The sequence below is a fragment of the Homo sapiens genome, chromosome 4, assembly GCF_000001405.40.
Source record: "Homo sapiens chromosome 4, GRCh38.p14 Primary Assembly".
Classification (NCBI taxonomy): Eukaryota; Metazoa; Chordata; class Mammalia; order Primates; family Hominidae; genus Homo; species Homo sapiens.
In genome coordinates this window covers 15,270,581-15,290,620 of record NC_000004.12, presented here as the reverse complement: position 1 = coordinate 15,290,620, position 20,040 = coordinate 15,270,581, and the positions used below count along the sequence as shown (strand labels likewise).

The following is a 20,040-nucleotide window of genomic DNA, read 5'->3' as shown; positions in this document are numbered from 1 at the left end:
TTGTGAAACGAAGGTGTAATTTCCACACTCTCAGGGTTTGTGTGAGGCTCACATGAGATAATGTATTTGAAATTTTTCTTTTTTAAAGTATATAACCTTTTATGATATGCATAATTTTTGATATATGTATAAGAAATATATATATACACACATTGTGAAATAATTTCCTCAATCAAGCAAATTAACATATCCATCACCTCATTTATTTACCATTTTCTTTCCTTTATTTTTGGTGGCAAGAGCACTTAAGATCTACCCTTTTAGTAAATTTCAAGAATACAATACAGTATTAACTACAGTCAATTGACATTGTCAGACATATACATTAGATACACACACACACACACACACACACACACACACACTCCACATTCACATTCATCCATTGATGGGCATTTAGGTTGTTATTTTATCTTGGCTGTTGTGGATAATGGTGCAATGAACATGGCAGAACAGATGTCTCTTTGCAATATTGATTTCATTTCATTTGGCTATATACCTAGAAGTGGGATTGCTGGATCACAAGGTCGTTCTATTTTAAATTTTTTGAGAGTCTTCCATATTGCTTTGCTGAATGGCTGTACCAATTTACATTCTCACAAGCAGAGTACATGGGGTTCCATTAGTATGTCTTATTTTGAGAACTATCTATTTAGGTATTTCCCCCTTTTTAAAGACAATTTTCTAGAGCAGTTTTAGGTTCACAGCAAAGTTGAGAGGAAGGTACAGAGATTTCCCATATACTCCCTGCCTCTTGCATAGTCTCCCTGATTATCAACATACCACAACAGAGTGGTACATTTGCTAGAGTTGATTAACCTATATTGACACATCACCATCACTCCAAATCTATAGCTTACATTAGGGGTCACTCTTGGTGTTGTGCATTTTATGAGTTTGGACAAATGTATAATGACATGGATTCATTATTATAGTATCGTACTAAGTATTTTCACCACCCTAAAAGTGATCTAAGCTCCACCTATTTATTCCTTCTGCACCCCTCAATCCCTGGCAACCACTGAACTTTTTACTGTCTCCAAAGTTTTGCCTTTTCCAGAATATCATATAGTTGGAATCATATAGTATGGAGCCTTTTTCAGATTGGTTACTTTCACTTAGTAACATGCCTTTAACATCCTTCCATGCTTTTCAAGCCTTTACAGCTTATTTCTTTTTGGTGCTGAAGAATATTTCATTGTCAGGATGTACTACAATTTATTTATTCATTCACCTACTGAAGGACATCTCAATTGCTTCTAAGTTTTAGCAATTATAAATGAAGATTTTATAAACATCCACGTGTAGGTTCTTATGTGGACATGGGTTCTTCAGCTCCTTTGGGAGATACCAAAGAGTATGAGTGCAGGATTATATGATGAAAGCATGTTTCATTTTGCAAAAACCTACCAAACTCTCTTCCAAAGTGGCTGTATCATTTTGTATTCCCACTAGCAGTGAATGAGAGTTCTTGTTGCTCTACATTCTTATCAGCATTTAATATTGTCAGCATTTGATATTGTCAGTGTTCTGGAGTTTGGCCATTCTAGTAGGTGTGTAATAGTATCTCATGATTGTTTTAACTTGCATTTCCCTGGTGATATATGATGTAGAGCATCTTCTCATATTCTTACTTGTCATCTTTATATTTTCTTCAGTGAGGCATATATTAAGGTCTTCGGTCCAATGTTTAGTCAGGTTGTTTTATTTGTGTTTTTAAATAATTCTTTGTATATTTTAGATAACAGTTCTTTATTAGATATGCCTTCTGCAAATATTTTCTCCCAGTCTGTGGCTTATATTCTTTCTCTTGACATTCACAGAGCAGCTATTAATTTTAATGAAATTTCGCTGATCAATTATTTCTTTCTTAGATCATACCTTTTTTATTGTATCTAAAAAGTCATTGCCAGACACAAGGTCATCTAGGTTTTCTTCTATGTTACTTTCTGGGTGTTCTATAGTTTTGCATTTTACATTTAGACCTGTGATACATTTTGAGTTTTTGTGTGGGGTGTAAGGCCTGTGGCTATAGGTTTATTTTTTTGCGTGTAGGTATCCATTTGTTCCCTGGCTCCCCCAACAGTTTGTTGAGAAGACAGACTATCTTTTCTCCCTTGAACTGCCTTTGCTTCTTTGTCAAAGATCAGTTTATTATGTTTATGTGGGTCTATTTCTGTGCTCTCTATTCTGGTCCATTGATGTATTTGTCTAGTCTTTTGTCAATGCTGTTGTGATTACTACTGCTTTACAGTATGCTTTGAAATTGGCTAGTGTCAGTCCTCCAACTTTGTTGTTCTCCTTCATTATTGATTTGGCTATTTTGGGCCTTTTGCCTCACCATATAAACTTTAAAATCAGATGGTCAATATCTACAAAATATCTTGCTGGGATTTTGCTTAGGATTACATTGAATCGATAAAGTAGGGAAGAACTGATGTCTCCATTTATTTAGTTCATCTTTGATTTCTTTCATCTGAGTTTTGTAGTTTTTCTCATAGAGATCTTATATGCATTTTGTTACGTTTATACCTAAGAATTGCATTTTTGGAGGCTCTTGTGTAAATTGTATTGTCTTTTAAATTTCAAATTCCACTTGTTTGTTACTGGTTTATAAAAAAGCGGTTGACATTTATATACTAACCTGTATCTTGCAATCTTGCTACAGTCACTTGTTAGTTCTAGGAGATTTTGTTGTTGTCGTTATTGTTGATTCTTTCACATTTTCTACATAAACAATCATATCAACGGTGAATAAAAATGATTTTTAAAATTCCCATCTATATACCTTTTTCCCTTTTCTTGTATTATTGCATTAGCTAATATTGCATCATGCCAATAAGAGTTGAAAAGGAATGGTGAGAGAAGAAACCCTTGCCTTGTTCTTGATCTTAATGGGAAGCTTCCAGTTTCTTATTATTAAGTACGATGTTAGTTGTAGGTTTTTGTTGATATTCTTTATAAAGTTGAAGGAGTTTCCCTGTAGTCCTAGTTTACTGAGAGTTTTATTATAAATGAAGGCTTTATTTTGTCAAATGTTTTTGCTGAATCTGGTATAATCATGTGATTTTCTTTTTTAGCCTGTTGATGTGATGTGATACATTAATTGATTTTGGAAAATTAAATGAGCTTTGCATACTTGGGATAAATTCCACTTGGTTGTGGTGTCTAATTCTATTTCTATCTTGTTGGATTCTCTGTTAATACTTCATTGAGGATTTTTACATCTATATTCATGAGAGATATTGGTCTACAGTTTTCTTTCCTTGTAATGTCATTGTCTGGTTTTGATATTAAGATATTTATTACTGGTCTCATAGAATTAGTTAGGAAGTATTTCCTCTGCTTTTCTCTTCTGAGAGAATTGTAGATAATTGGTATAATTTCTTCTTTAAATGTGTGGTCAAATTCACCAATGAACTCACCTGGGTTTAGTGCTTTCTGTTTTAGAAGGTTCATAATTATTGATTCAATATCTTCAATAGATATTGGTCTATTAAGATTGTCTATTTTTGTGTGAGTTTTGACAAATTGTGTCTTTAAGAAATTGATCTGTTTCATCTAGCGAGAAATGCCCATTAAAATGATGTATAACATAACCACATTTATTTAGGAATGTATTCTAATATCAAATGGCAAATTCTAACAATGCAAAAACCACAGTTACTTTTGCACTTACCTAACACATATTCTTCTCAAGCTCACATGGAACATTCACCAAGATAAACCATATTCGGTACCATAAGACTCACCTAAACAAATTTAAAAGTATAGAAATCATACAATGTCTGCTCTCAGGCCACAATGGAACTACACTGTAAATCAATAACAAAAACAGAAAAATCTCAAAATACATAGATTAAACAATAAACTTTTTTTTTTTAGACAGAGCCGGGCTCTGTTGCCCAGGCTGAAGTGCAGTGGTGCGATCTCGGCTCACTGCAAGCCCTGCCTCCCTGGTTCACACCATTCTCCTGCCTCAGCCTCCCAAGTAGCTGGGACTACGGCGTCTGCCACCACGCCCAGCTAATTTTTTGTATTTTTAGTAGAGACGAGTTTCACCGTGTTAACCATGATGGTCTTGATCTCCTGACCTCATGATCCACCCGCCTCGGCCTCCCAAAGTGCTGGGATTACAGGCGTGAGCCACTGCGCCTGACCTTATTATTCTTATAATGTTCGTGGGAGCTGTAGTGATGTCCCCTCTGATATTAGTGATTTGTGGCCTTTCTCTTTTTTTCTTAATTAGCCTGGTTAAGGTTTATACATATTATTGATCTTTACAAGGAATTAGCTTTTGGTTTCATTGATTTTTTTTCTATGGATTCCTGGTTTCCAATGTCATTGATTTCTGTTTTAACTTTTATTTATTTATTTATTTATTTATTTATTTATTTATTTATGTATTTATTTATTTTCTTCTGCTCACTTTGGATTTAATTTGCTTTTTTCTAGTTTTCTAAAATGGAAGCCTAGATTATTGATTTTATATTCTTTCCTAACATATACATTCAATACTATATATTTTTCCTCTAAGCGCTGCTTTTGCTCCATCCCACAAAGTTTGATAAGCTGTATTTTTATTTTCATTTAGTTTAAAATATTTTTAAATTTCTCTTGAGATTTCTTCTTTGATTCATGTTATTTAAAAGTGTGTTGTTGGCTGGGCGCAGTGGCTCACGCCTGTAATCCAGCACTCTGGGAGGCCTAGGCAGGAGAATCACCTGAGGTCAGGAGTTCGAGACAAGCCTGACCAACATGGAGAAACCCCATCTCTACTAAAAATACAAAATTAGCCGGGTGTGGTGGCACATGCCTGTAATCCCAGCTACTTGGGAGGCTGAGGCAGGAGAATCGCTTGAATCTGGGAGGCAGAGTTTGCCATGAGCCAAGGTCATGCCACTGCACTCCAGCCTGGGCAAGAAGAGCGAAACTCCATCTAAAAAAAAAAGTTTGTTGTTAATCTATGTATTTTGAGATTTTTCTGTTTTTGTTACTGAAGCCTGCTCTGTCTGAAATTTATGTAGCTACTTCTGCTTTATTATGATTAATGTTAGTATGGTATATTTTTGCCACCCATTTACTTTTAATGTATTTGTGTATATTTGAAATGGGTTTCTCACAGACAACATATAGTCAGGTCTTTTTTTTTATCCACTCTGACAATAACTGTCTTTTAATTGTTGTATTTAAATTATTGACATTTAGACCACTGACATTCAAAGTGATTATTGTTATAGTTGGGTTAATATCTATCACATTTATTACTTTTTAATTTGCTCTTCTTGTTCTTTGTAACTATTTTCGTCTTCCATTCTTTTTCTGCTTTTTATAATTTTAATTGAGCATTTTGTATAATTCTGTTTACTTTATAAACCTGTTAGTTTTACTTTTGTGTTTTTATTTCTTTTAGTGGTTGCTGTAGAGTTTGCAATATATATTTACAACTAATTCAAATCCGATTTCATAGAAAACTATACCACTTCACAGGTAGTGTAAGTAGCTTATAATAACAAAATTATTCTAATTTCTTCTTACCATCCCTTTATTATTACTATCATTTATTTCACTTATATATAAGCATATATAAAAAATATAAACGCTTATTATTTTCAATAAACTTTTATCTGTTAGATTAAGAATAAGAAAAATAAACATTCTATTTTACCTTCACTTATTCCTTCTTTTATGTTCTTCCTTTCCTTATGAAGATCTGAGTTTCTTACATATATTAATATCCTCCCCTTTAAAAAAAATATTTCTTTTAACATTTCTTGCAAGGCAGGTCTACTGGCAATAAATTCTTTTAAGTTTTCTCTGAGAAAGTATTTCTCATTCACTTTTGACAGATAAGTTTGCAGTACAGAATTATAGATTAGTAGGGTTTTTTTTCTCTGTTAATACTTTAAATATTTTTTCTTTTTTTTCTTTTTATTATTATTATTATTATTATTATTATTATTATTATACTTTAAGTTTTAGGGTACATGTGCACATTGTGCAGGTTAGTTACATACATATACATGTGCCATGCTGGTGTGCTGCACCCACTAACTCATCATCTAGCATTAGGTATATCTCCCAATGCTATCCCTCCCCCCTCCCCCCACCCCACAACAGTCCCCAGAGTGTGATGTTCCCCTTCCTGTGTCCATGTGATCTCATTGTTCAATTCCCACCTATGAGTGAGAATATGCGGTGTTTGGTTTTTTGTTCTTGCGATCGTTTACTGAGAATGATGGTTTCCAATTTCATCCATGTCCCTACAAAGGACATGAACTCATCATTTTTTATGGCTGCATAGTATTCCATGGTGTATATGTGCCACATTTTCTTAATCCAGTCTATCACTGTTGGACATTTGCGTTGGTTCCAAGTCTTTGCTATTGTGAATAATGCCGCAATAAACATACGTGTGCATGTGTCTTTATAGCAGCATGATTTATAGTCCTTTGGGTATATACCCAGTAATGGGATGGCTGGGTCAAATGGTATTTCTAGTTCTAGATCCCTGAGGAATGGCCACACTGACTTCCACAATGGTTGAACTAGTTTACAGTCCCACCAACAGTGTAAAAGTGTTCCTATTTCTCCACATCCTCTCCAGCACCTGTTGTTTCCTGACTTTTTAATGATTGCCATTCTAACTGGTGTGAGATGGTATCTCATAGTGGTTTTGATTTGCATTTCTCTGATGGCCAGTGATGGTGAGCATTTTTTCATGTGTTTTTTGGCTGCATAAATGTCTTCTTTTGAGAAGTGTCTGTTCATGTCCTTCACCCACTTTTTGATGGGGTTGTTTTTTTCTTGTAAATTTGTTTGAGTTCATTGTAGATTCTGGATATTAGCCCTTTGTCAGATGAGTAGGTTGTGAAAATTTTCTCCCATTTTGTAGGTTGCCTGTTCACTCTGATGGTAGTTTCTTTTGCTGTGCAGAAGCTCTTTCGTTTAATTAGATCCCATTTGTCAATTGTGGCTTTTGTTGCCATTGCTTTTGGTGTTTTAGCCATGAAGTCCTTTCCCATGGCTATGTCCTGAATGGTAATGCCTAGGTTTTCTTCTAGGGTTTTTATGGTTTTAGGTCTAACGTTTAAGTCTTTAATCCATCTTGAATTGATTTTTGTATAAGGTGTAAGGAAGGGATCCAGTTTCAGCTTTCTACATATGGCTAGCCAGTTTTCCCAGCACCATTTATTAAATAGGGAATCCTTTCCCCATTGCTTGTTTTTCTCAGGTTTGTCAAAGATCAGATAGTTGTAGATATGCGGCGTTATTTCTGAGGGCTCTGTTCTGTTCCATTGATCTATATCTCTGTTTTGGTACCAGTACCATGCTGTTTTGGTTACTGTAGCCTTGTAGTATAGTTTGAAGTCAGGTAGTGTGATGCCTCCAGCTTTGTTCTTTTGGCTTAGGATTGACTTGGTAATGTGGGCTCTTTTTTGGTTCCATATGAACTTTAAAGTAGTTTTTTCCAATTCTGTGAAGAAAGGCATTGGTAGCTTGATGGGGATGGCATTGAATCTGTAAATTACCTTGGGCAGTATGGCCATTTTCACGATATTGACTCTTCCTACCCATGAGCATGGAATGTTCTTCCATTTGTTTGTATCCTCTTTTATTTCCTTGAGCAGTGGTTTGTAGTTCTCCTTGAAGAGGTCCTTCACATCCCTTGTAAGTTGGATTCCTAGGTATTTTATTCTCTTTGAAGCAATTGTGAATGGGAGTTCACTCATGATTTGGCTCTCTGTCTGTTGTTGGTGTATAGGAATGCTTGTGATTTTTGCACATTGATTTTGTATCCTGAGACTTTGCTGAAGTTGCTTATCAGCTTAAGGAGGTTTTGGGCTGAGACAATGGGGTTTTCTAGATATAAAATCATGTCATCTGCAAATAGGGGCAATTTGACTTCCTCTTTTCCTAATTGAATACCCTTTATTTCCTTCTTCTGCCTAATTGCCCTGGCCAGAACTTCCAACACTATGTTGAATAGGAGTGATGAGAGAGGGCATCCCTGTCTTGTGCCAGTTTTCAAAGGGAATGCTTCCAGTTTTTGCCCATTCAGTATGATATTGGCTGTGGGTTTGTCATAGATAGCTCTTATTATTTTGAAATATGTCCCATCAATACCTAATTTATTGAGAGTTTTTAGCATGAAAGGTTTTTGAATTTTGTCAAAGGGCTTTTCTGCATCTATTGAGATAATCATGTGGTTTTTGTCTTTGGCTCTGTTTATATGCTGGATTACATTTATTGATTTGCGTATATTGAACCAGCCTTGCATCCCAGGGATGAAGCCCACTTGATCATGGTGGATAAGCTTTTTGATGTGCTGCTGGATTCGGTTTGCCAGTATTTTATTGAGGATTTTTGCATCAATGTTCATCAAGGATATTGGTCTAAAATTCTCTTTTTTGGTTGTGTCTCTGCCCGGCTTTGGTATCAGAATGATGCTGGCCTCATAAAATGAGTTAGGGAGGATTCCCTCTTTTTCTATTGATTGGAATAGTTTCAGAAGGAATTGTACCAGCTCCTCCTTGTACCTCTGGTAGAATTCAGCTGTGAATCCATCTGGTCCTGGACTCTTTTTGGTTGGTAAGCTATTGATTATTGCCACAATTTCAGATCCTGTTATTAGTCTATTCAGAGATTCAACTTCTTCCTGGTTTAGTCTTGGGAGAGTGTACGTGTCAAGGAATTTATCCATTTCTTCTAGATTTTCTAGTTTATTTGCGTAGAGGTGTTTGTAGTATTCTCTGATGGTAGTTTGTATTTCTGTGGGATCGGTGGTGATATCCCCTTTATCATTTTTTATTGCATCTATTTGATTCTTCTCTCTTTTTTTTCTTTATTAGTCTTGCTAGCAGTCTATCAATTTTGTTGATCCTTTCAAAAAACCAGCTCCTGGATTCATTAATTTTTTGAAGGGTTTTTTGTGTCTCTATTTCCTTCAGTTCTGCTCTGATTTTAGTTATTTCTTGCCTTCTGCTAGCTTTTGAATGTGTTTGCTCTTGCTTTTCTAGTTCTTTTAATTGTGATGTTAGGGTGTCAATTTTGGATCTTTCCTGCTTTCTCTTGTGGGCATTTAGTGCTATAAATTTCCCTCTACACACTGCTTTGAATGCGTCCCAGAGATTCTGGTATGTTGTGTCTTTGTTCTCGTTGGTTTCAAAGAACATCTTTATTTCTGCCTTCATTTCGTTATGTACCCAGTAGTCATTCAGGAGCAGGTTGTTCAGTTTCCATGTAGTTGAGCGGTTTTGAGTGAGATTCTTAATCGTGAGCTCTAGTTTGATTGCACTGTGGTCTGAGAGATAGTTTGTTATAATTTCTGTTGTTTTACATTTGCTGAGGAGAGCTTTACTTCCAAGTATGTGGTCAATTTTGGAATAGGAGTGGTGTGGTGCTGAAAAAAATGTATATTCTGTTGATTTGGGGTGGAGAGTTCTGTAGATGTCTATTAGGTCCGCTTGGTGCAGAGCTGAGTTCAATTCCTGGGTATCCTTGTTGACTTTCTGTCTCGTTGATCTGTCTAATGTTGACAGTGGGGTGTTAAAGTATCCCATAATTAATGTGTGGGAGTCTAAGTCTCTTTGTAGGTCACTCAGGACTTGCTTTATGAATCTGGGTGCTCCTGTATTGGGTGCATATATATTTAGGATAGTTAGCTCTTCTTGTTGAATTGATCCCTTTACCATTATGTAATGGCCTTCTTTGTCTCTTTTGATCTTTGTTGGTTTAAAGTCTGTTTTATCAGAGACTAGGATTGCAACCCCTGCCTTTTTTTGTTTTCCATTTGCTTGGTAGATCTTCCTCCATCCTTTTATTTTGAGCCTATGTGTGTCTCTGCTCGTGAGATGGGTTTCCTGAATACAGCACACTGATGGGTCTTGACTCTTTATCCAATTTGCCAGTCTGTGTCTTTTAATTGGAGCATTTAGTCCATTTACATTTAAAGTTAATATTGCTATGTGTGAATTTGATCCTGTCATTATGATGTTAGCTGGTTATTTTGCTTGTTAGTTGATGCAGTTTCTTCCTAGTCTCGATGGTCTTTAAATTTTGGCATGATTTTGCAGCGGCTGGTACCGGTTGTTCCTTTCCATGTTTAGCGCTTCCTTCAAGAGCTCTTTTAGGGCAGGACTGGTGGTGACAAAATCTCTCAGCATTTGCTTGTCTGTAAAGTATTTTATTTCTCCTTCACTTATGAAGCTTAGTTTGGCTGGATATGAAATTCTGGGTTGAAAATTCTTTTCTTTAAGAATGTTGAATATTGGCCCCCACTCTCTTCTGGCTTGTAGGGTTTCTGCCAAGAGATCCGCTGTTAGTCTGATGGGCTTCCCTTTGAGGGTAACCCGACCTTTCTCTCTGGCTGCCCTTAACATTTTTTCCTTCATTTCAACTTTGGTGAATCTGACAATTATGTGTCTTGGAGTTGCTCTTCTCGAGGAGTATCTTTGTGGCGTTCTCTGTATTTCCTGAATCTGAACGTTGGCCTGCCTTGCTAGATTGGGGAAATTCTCCTGGATAATATCCTTCAGAGTGTTTTCCAACTTGGTTCCATTCTCCCCATCACTTTCAGGTACACTAATCAGACGTACATTTGGTCTTTTCACATAGTCCCATATTTCTTGGAGGCTTTGCTCATTTCTTTTTTCTCTAAACTTTCCTTCTCGCTTCATTTCATTCATTTCATCTTCTATTGCTGATACCCTTTCTTCCAGTTGATCGCATTGGCTCCCGAGGCTTCAGCATTCTTCACGTAGTTCTTGAGCGTTGGTTTTCAGCTCCATCAGCTCCTTTAAGCACTTCTCTGTATTGGTTATTCTAGTTATACATTCTTCTAAATTTTTTTCAAAGTTTTCAACTTCTTTGCCTTTGGTTTGAATGTCCTCCCGTAGCTCAGAGTAATTTGATCGTCTGAAGCCTTCTTCTCTCAGCTCATCAAAGTCATTCTCTGTCCAGCTTTGTTCCATTGCTGGTGAGGAGCTGCATTCCTTTGGAGGAGGAGAGGCGCTCTGCTTTTTAGAGTTTCCAGTTTTTCTGCTCTGTTTTTTCCCCATCTTTGTGGTTTTATCTACTTTTGGTCTTTGATGATGGTGATGTACAGATGGGTTTTTGGTGTGGATGTGCTTTCTGTTTGTTAGTTTTCCTTCTAACAGACAGGACCCTCAGCTGCAGGTCTGTTGGAGTACCCTGCAGTGTGAGGTGTCAGTGTGCCCCTGCTGGAGGGTGCCTCCCAGTTAGGCTGCTCAGGGGTCAGGGGTCAGGGACCCACTTGAAGAGGCAGTCTGCCCATTCTCAGATCTCCAGCTGTGTGCTGGGAGAACCACTGCTCTCTTCAAAGCTGTCAGACAGGGACATTTAAGTCTGCAGAGGTTACTGCTGTCTTTTTGTTTGTCTGTGCCCTGCCCCCAGAGGTGGAGCCTACAGAGGCAGGCAGGCCTCCTTGAGCTGTGGTGGGCTCCACCCAGTTCGAGCTTCCAGGCTGCTTTGTTTACCTAATCAAGCCTGGGCAATGGTGGGCGCCCCTCCCCCAGCCTCGCTGCCACCTTGCAGTTTGATCTCAGACTGCTGTGCTAGCAATCAGCGAGACTCCGTGGGCGTAGGACCCTCCGAGCCAGGTACGGGATATAATCTCGTGGTGCGCCGTTTTTTAAGCCCGTCGGAAAAGCGCAGTATTCGGGTGGGAGTGACCCATTTTTCCAGGTACCGTCCGTCCCCCCTTTCTTTGATTAGGAAAGGGAACTCCCTGACCCCTTGTGCTTCCCGAGTGAGGCAATGCCTCGCCCTGCTTCGGCTCGTGCACGGTGTGCGCACCCACTGACCTGTGCCCACTGTCTGGCACTCCCTAGTGAGATGAACCCGGTACCTCAGATGGAAATGCAGAAATCACCCGTTTTCTGCGTCGCTCAGGCTGGGAGCTGTAGACCAGAGCTGTTCCTATTCGGCCATCTAATATTTTTTCTTTACTCTTTTTTTTTTGCTTGTACAGTGTCTGAGGAGAGATTGGATGCAATTCTTATCTTTGTTCCTTTATAAAAAAGTCTGTTTTTTGCCTCTAGTTTCTTTCAGAAATTTTATTATTATCTTTGATTTTTTGTTTTGAATATAAATGATTTGCCTTGGTGCAGGGCTTAAAGTTTTGTTTTTGTTTTTGTTTTTACATTTATCTTGCTTGGTGGTTCTGTGAATTTCTGGGTCTGTGGTTTGGTGTCTGACATAAATATTAGGAAATTTTCACTCCTTATTGTTTTTAATATTTTTCTGTTCCTCTCTCTCTTTCTTCTCCCTTTAGTATTTCTGTTAAATGTATGTTACAACTTTTATAGTAGTCTCACAGTCCTTTGACATGCTTTTCTATTTTTTAAGTCTCTGTTCTCATTGCTTTTATTTGTGAAGTTTTCTATTGATAAATCTCAAGCTCAGAGATTTTTCCCTCAGCCATGTTCAGTCTACTAATAAGACAATCAAGGCGGTTCTTCATTTCTACTACAGTTTTTTTTTTTTAATCTCTAGCATTTCTTTTTAGTTCTTTCTTAGGATTTCCATCTTTGTGCTTACATTTCTCATCTGCTTACATTTCCTTAGCATACTAACCACTATTGTTTTAAATTTCCAGTATGATAATTCAGACATTTCTGTCATGTCTTGTTCTAATGCTTGTCTCTTCAAATTGTCTTTTTTTGCCTTTTAGTAAGGCTTGCACATTTTTTTCTTTTTTGATAGTTAGACATCATGTACTGGGTACTATGCATTTAGGAATGTGGTAGTAAAGTGCCGAGGTGAGGAAAGTGTTTCATAGTTCTATTATCAGGTCTCAGTCTTTTAACTTTTGTACTCTAAGCTTTACTAGTGCTCCTCAGTTTCTCTCTCTGGTTCCCTTAAGTGGGACAGAATGACTAAAACTGGCTGGAGTCAGGTATTTCCCTTTTACCACCTGAGCTAGGCACTGATAAAACCCCAGTAGGTTAGGGTTTTGTTAAATAATTTCTCTTGAGGGCAGACCTTGGTAAAAAGAATAGAGTGCTGTGATGTACTTCAAAAGGGTTCTTCTTCTTCCTCTGGCAGAAGCAAGAGGATATTTTCTCTGATATTTACTGTGAGAACCTAGTTCAGTTCCTGGAGATAAAACTCACAAAATTGTGGGGATCCCCATATGACTGACCACCCCCTGCTGCCTCCAGAGTTTTAAAGTCTCAGATTGGTCCACACTGTGCTGCTAGCAATTCATCAATTTCAGGTAAGGTTTTATTACAGCTCCTTAGGTGGTTCCCACTCCTGATTCTTTTCTCTAGTAAACTGTGACTGTCTGTATTCACCTGTCTGTCTCTTCAATCTTGGGGGCAGTGGTTTGCCGTGTGTCCTCATCTTTCTTGTAGATTAAATAAGAGTTGTTAATTTTTTCAGGCTGCTGAACTTTTTTACTTCTTGTTATACTAGAGTGGGAATTTTCAAGTTCCTCACATGTGAAAACATAAACTGGAAGTCTCTCTTTGCCTGTCTTTTTAATTGAGAATTTTTTTTGTTATTGAGTTATATGAGTGATATGGTTTGGCTGTGTCCCCACCCAAATCTCAACTTGAATGGTATCTCCCAGAATTCCATGTGTTGTGGGAGGGACCCAGGGGGAGGTAATTGAATCATGGGGTAGGTCTTTTCCATGCTATTCTCGTGATAGTGAATAAGTCTCATGAACTCTGATGGGTTTATCAGGGGTTTCCACTTTTGCGTCTTCCTCATTTTCTCTTGCCAACACCATGTAAGAAGTGCCTTTCACCTCCTGCCATGATTCTGAGGCCTCCCCAGCCATGTGGAACTGTAAGTCCAATTAAACCTCTTGTCCTTCCCAGTCTTGGGTATGTATTCATCAGCAGCGTGAAAACAGACTAATATAATGAGCTACTTGCATATTTTGGATACTTACTCTTTATCAGATATCTATTTTGAAAATATTTGCCCCCCCATTCTGCAGGTGACCTTTTGAATCTTTTAATTGTTTCTTTTGCTGTGCAGAGCTCGGTGTGGTTTGATGAAATCCTACCAGTCCATTTTTGCATTTGTCACCTTTGTTTTTGATATCATATAAAAAATATTATTGTCCAGATCAATGCCAAAAGGATTTTGTCCATGTTTTCTTGCAGCTGTTTTATGGTGTCATGTCTTAGGTTTAAGTCTTTAATCCATTTTTAGTTTATCTTTGTATATGGTATGGGATGAGTCCAATTGTTTTCTTCTGCATATGGACCTCCAGTTTTCCAAACAACATTTATTGAAGAGACCATTCTTTCTTCATTGTGTGTTCTCAACAGTCTTGTCAAAGATCAATTGGCTACAGATGCATGGATGGATGTATTTCTGAGTTCTCCATTCTGTTCCATTGAGCCATATGTCTGTTTTTATGCCAGTAGCATATTGTTTTGATTACTGTAGCTTTGACGTATATGTTTTGAAGTCAGGTAGAGTGATGCCTCCAGCTGTGATCTTTTTGCTCCAGATTACTTTGGCTATTGGGGTCTTTTGTGGTTTCATATGAATTTTAGGATTTTTTTTCTATAAAGAGTGCCATTGGCATATTGTTTTTGTTTTTGTGGGTACATAGTAGATGTATGTATTTATGGGTTACATGAGATATTTTGATACTGGCATGCAATGCATAATAATCACATCATGAGAAATGGGGTATACATCACCTCAAGCATTTGTCCTTTGTGTTATAAACAATCCAGTTACACTCTGTAGTTATTTTTAAGTGTACAATTAAATTATTTTTGACTATAGTGACCTGGTTGTGCTAGCAAATACTAGGTCTTGTTCATTCTAACTACTTTTTTGGAACCATTAACCATCCTCATTTCCTCCTCACTTTCCATGCTACCCTTCCCAGCCTCTGGCAACTGTCTTTCTGCTCTCTATCTTCATGAATTTAATGATTTTAATCTTTAGCTCCGCAAATAAGTAAGAAAATGTGAAGTTTGTCTTTCTGTACCTGGCTTATTTTACCAAACCTATGCCCTCCAGTGACAGGATCTCATTCATTTTAATGGCTAAATAGTACTCCATTGTATATAAATACAACATTTAATAAATCCATTCTTCTGTTGATGGACACAGGTTGCTTCCAAATGTTGGCTATTGTGAATAGTGCTGCAAATAAACATGGGACTGAAGATATTACTTCAAAATACTGATTTCCTTTCTTTTGGATATGTATCTAGTAGTGGGATTGCTGGGTCATATGATAACTCTAGTTTTAGTTTTTTGAGGAACCTTCAAACTGTTCTCCATAGTGCTTGTATTAATTTACATTCCCACCAACACTGTATGAGGATTCTTTTTTCTCCATATTTCTCACCAGCATTTGTTATTGCCTGACATTTGGATAAAAGCCATTTTAACTGGAGTGAGGTGATATCTCATTGTAGTTTTGATTTGCATTTTTCTGATGATCAGTGATGTCGAGCACCTTTGTATATACCTATTTGCTAATTGTATGTCTTCTTTTGAGAAATGTTTATTCAGATCTTATGCTAATTTTTAATTGGATTGTTAGATTTTTTTTCCTGTAGAATTGTTTGAGCTCCTTGTATGTTCTGCTTATTAATCCCTTGTCAGATGGGTAGTTTGCAAGTATTTTCACCCATTCTGTGGGTTGTCTCTTCAGTTTGTTGTTCCCTTTACTGTACAGGAGCTTTTTAATTTGATGTGATTCTATTTGTCTGTTTTTGCTTTGGTTGCCTGTCCTTGTGGGATGTTTCTTAAGAAATCTTTTTCCAGGCCAGGCTCAGTGGCTCACGCCTATAATCCCAGCACTTTGGGAGGCCAAGGCGGGTGGATCACGAGGTTAGGAGATTGAGACCATCCTGGCTAACACAGTGAAACCCCGTCTCTACTAAAAAAAAGAAAATTAGCCGGACGTGGTGGTGGGTGCCTGTAGTCCCAGCTACTTGGGAGGCTGATGCAGGAGAATGGCGTGAACCCAGGAGGCAGAGCTTGCAGTGAGCAGAGATGGCGCCACTGCACTCCAGCCTGGGTGACAGAGTGAAACTCTGTCTCAAAAAAAAAAAAAAAAAAAAAAGAAAAGAAAAAAGAAATCTTTTTGCAGTCCAATGTCCTGGAGCATTTCCCCAATGTTTTCTTGCAGTAGTTCCATAGATTGAGGTCTTAGATTCAAGTCTTCAATCCACCTTAATTTAATTTTTGTGTATGGTGAGCTATAGGGTTCTATTTTTTTTTTGCATATGAATATCCAGTTTTCCCAGCACCATTTATTGAAGAGACTGTCCTTTCCTCAATATATATTCTTGGCACTTTTGTTAAAAATGAGTTGACTGTAGATATATGAATTTATCTCTGGATTCTCTGTTCTCTTCCAACAATTTGTGTGTTTGTTTTTATGCCAGTACTATGCCATTTTAATTAATATAGCTCTGTAGTATAATTTAAAGTTGGATAATATGATTCCTCTGGTTTTGTTCTTTTCTCTTAGGATGGTTTCAACTGTTTTGGGCCTTTTGTGATGCTATATAAATTTTAAGAGTGTTTTTTTCTATTTTGTTGAAGAACGTTTTTGGTATTTTGATAGGGATTGCATTAAATCTGTAGATTGCTTTGAGTAGCATGGATGTTTTAGCAATATTGATTCGTTCAACTCATGAATATGGAATATCATTTTTTAAATGTCTTCAAATTTTTGCATCACTGTTGCGCAGTTTTCATTGGTGAGATCTTTCATTTCTTCAGCTATGTTAATTTTCAGATATTTTATTTTATTTGTACTTATTGTAAATGGGGTTACTTTCTTGATTTCTTTTTCAGTTTGCTCACTGTTGGCATATAGAAATGCTACTGATTTTTGCATGTTGATTTTGTATCCTGCAACTTTACTGAACTCGTTTATTAGTTCTGATTGTTTTTTGATGGAGTCTTTAGGTTTCTCCAAATATAAGATCATATCATCTGCACACAAGGATAATTTGACTTCTTCCTTTTCAATTTAGATGCCCTTTATTTCTTTTGTGTGATTGCTCTAGCTAGGACTTCCAGTATTATGTTGAATAACAGTGATGAAAGTGGCGATCCTTGTTGTTCCTGATCTTTGAGGAAAGGCTTTTAGTATTTCTCCATTCAGTATGATACTAGCTATGGGTCTGTCATATATGGCTATTATTATGTTGAGGTACATTCTTTCTATACCCAGTTTTTTCAGGTTTTTTTTTATCATAAAGTCAGGTTGAATTTTCTCTAATGCTTTTTCAGCATCAATTGAAAGGGTCATTTTGTTTTTGTCCTTCATTTTGTTGATATGGCATATCACATTGATTGATTTGCATATGTTGAACCATCCTTGCGTTCCTGGGATAACTCCCACTTAATGATGAATAATCTTCTTAATGTATTGTTGAATTCAGTTTGCTAGTATTTTGTTGAGGATTTCTGCATCAAAAGTAATCAGAGATACTGGCCTGCAGTTTTCTTTTTTTGATGTGTCATTGCCTGGTTTTGGTATCACAGTAATACTGGCCTCATAATAAAACTTTAGAAGTATTCCTTCCTTTCTAGGAAGATAGAAAGAAATGAAAGAAGGAAGGGAAGACCACAAAACAACCAGCAAACAAAATAATGGGCAGGAGTGAGTCCTTACTAATCATTACATTATCTTGCTGAATTGACCCCTTTATCATTATATAGTGACCTTCTTTCTTTCTCCTTATAGGTTCTATCTTGAAATCTATTTTGTCCGATGTAAATATGGCTACTCCTGCTTTTTTTTGGTTTCCACTGGCATGAAATATCTTTTTCTATTTCTTTATTTTCAATCTATATGTGTCTTTATAGGTGAAGTGTGTTACTTGTAGGCAACAGAGTATCAGGTCTTTATTTTTTTATCCATTCATCTACACTATTTCTTTTGACTGGGGACTTTAGTCCATTTCCATTCAATGTTATTATTGATAAGTAAGGACTTAGTTCTGCCAATTTTTTTCTTTGTTTGCTTGTTGTTTTTTGGTCTTCCCTTCTTTCTTTCCTTTCTATCTTCTTTTTAGTGAAGGTGATTTTCTCTGGTGATATGCTTTAATTTCTTGCTTTTTATTTTTTGTTTATCTGTTGTATGCCATTGGGATTTTGATAGTAATTACATGGAATATGTAGATCACTTTGGGAAGTATGAACACTTTAACAATATTAATTATTCTAATCCATGAACACAGAATATCTTTCTATTCATCTGTGTCTTTTTAAATTTACTTAATCAGTGTTTTATAATTTTCAATGTACAAGGCTTTCAACTATTTGATTAAGCTTATTCCTATTTTATTCTTTCTGTTGCTATTTTACACAAGTTTGTTTTCTTAATTGTTTTAGATAGTTTATTGTTTGTATAGAGAAATATTACGGATTTTTGTATGAAGATTTTGTATTTGGTAATTTTACTGAATATATTTATTAGCCATAATAGTTTTTTGTTGTTGTTATTGAGTTTTTATAATTTCCTATATATATGATTGTGTTTTCTACCAGCATAGATAATGATATATCTTCCTTTCAGATCTGAATGCTCTTTATTTGTTTTTTAGTCTAATTGCTTGGGCCTTCTGGTATTAGGTTGAGTAGATGTGGTGACAGTGAGCATCCCTGACTTGTACTGGAGCTTAGTTTAGAGAAAGAGCTTTTAGTTATTTCCCATTAATTGTGTTGCTAGTTGTGGGCTTTTCATATATTGCCTTTATTATGTTGATGTAGATTACTTTCATACCTCTTTTGCTGAGGTTTTTTTTTAATCACAAATGAACATTGAATGTTGTCAAAAGCTTTTTCTGCATCAATTGAGACGATAATGTGATTTTTAGTCTTCATTCTTTTAATGTGTTGTATAACATTGATTGATTTTTATATGCTTAGCTATCCTTACATTTCAAGGATAAATCCCACATGGCCATGTTATGTAATCATTTTAATGTGCTGTTGAACTTGGTTTGCTAGTATTTTACTAAGAATTTTTACATCTTTGTTTATTAGGGATATTTTGCCTATCATTTTCTTTTCTTGTGATGTATTTGTTTGCCTTAGTATCAGGATAATGCTAGCCTCATTAAATAAGTTTGAAAGTGTTTCTTATTCTTTTATTTTTTTAAAAAGGATTTATGACAAATTGGTACTAATTCTTCTTTAAATGTTTAGTAGAATGCACCTGTGAAGCCTTCTGGTCTTTGGCTTTTTAGAGGGTGAGAGGTTTCTGATTACTGATTTAATCTCCTTATATATTATTGGTTTGTTCAGACTTTCTATTTATTCTTCATTCAGTCTTGTAGATCATACATTCTTAGGGATTTGTCCATTTCTTCTAGGTTATCCAATATATTGGCATATAATTGTACCTAATAATTTCTTATGTTTTTAAATTTATTTTTATTTACTTGAGTCTTGTCTCTATTTTCTTAGTTTGTCTAGATAAGGGCTTGTCACCTTTGTCTATCTTTTTGAAAAAAATCTTAGTTGCATCAGTGTTTCAATTGTTTTTCTATTCTCTATTTGATTTATTTCTTCTCTAACATATATTATGTCCTTGCTTCTGCTAACTTTGGACTTTGTTCCTGTTTTTCTAGTTCCTCAAGATATAAAGTTAAGATGTTTATTTGAGTTAGTTTTTTTCTTTTTTAATGTAGGCATTGATCAGAATCAAGTTTTCTATTAGTATTACTTTAGCTGCATTTCATACATTTTGGTATATTTTGTTTTTATTTCCATTTGCCTTGAAATATTTTCAAAATTCTCTTTTGAGTTCCTCTTTGACCCAATGGTTGCTTATGGGAGTGCTGTTTAGTTTCCATGTATTTGTGAATTTTCCATTTTCTTTTTCTTTTTTTTTTGCTATAGTGTACTAAAAGTCTTTATTGATAAACTGCATATGTTTTGAAAGTATAATGCAATAAGTTTATAGGGAATAGAATATAAATTTTTCACTTATAAGATTGTTTTAGTTCATTTTCACACTGCTGATAAAGACATACCTGAGACTGGGCAATTTACAAAAGAAAGAGG

At 36.1% G+C, this 20,040-nt stretch overlaps 1 long non-coding RNA gene across 1 annotated transcript in view, besides 1 other annotated feature; it reads left to right on the top strand.

Moving 5' to 3' along the window:
- The window catches only part of C1QTNF7-AS1 (C1QTNF7 antisense RNA 1), a 422,973-nt gene that overhangs the window by 137,294 nt on the left and 265,639 nt on the right, over positions 1 to 20,040 (top strand). The gene's annotated exons all lie outside the window — the stretch shown is intronic.
- Positions 11,055 to 11,692: an enhancer, noted in NCBI's record as "NANOG-H3K27ac-H3K4me1 hESC enhancer chr4:15280553-15281190 (GRCh37/hg19 assembly coordinates)". NCBI's record gives its function as "activates a minimal SCP1, AML or CMV promoter by ChIP-STARR-seq in naive H9 embryonic stem cells {active_cell/tissue: H9 hESC(naive)}" and the evidence as "EXISTENCE:reporter gene assay evidence [ECO:0000049][PMID:30033119]".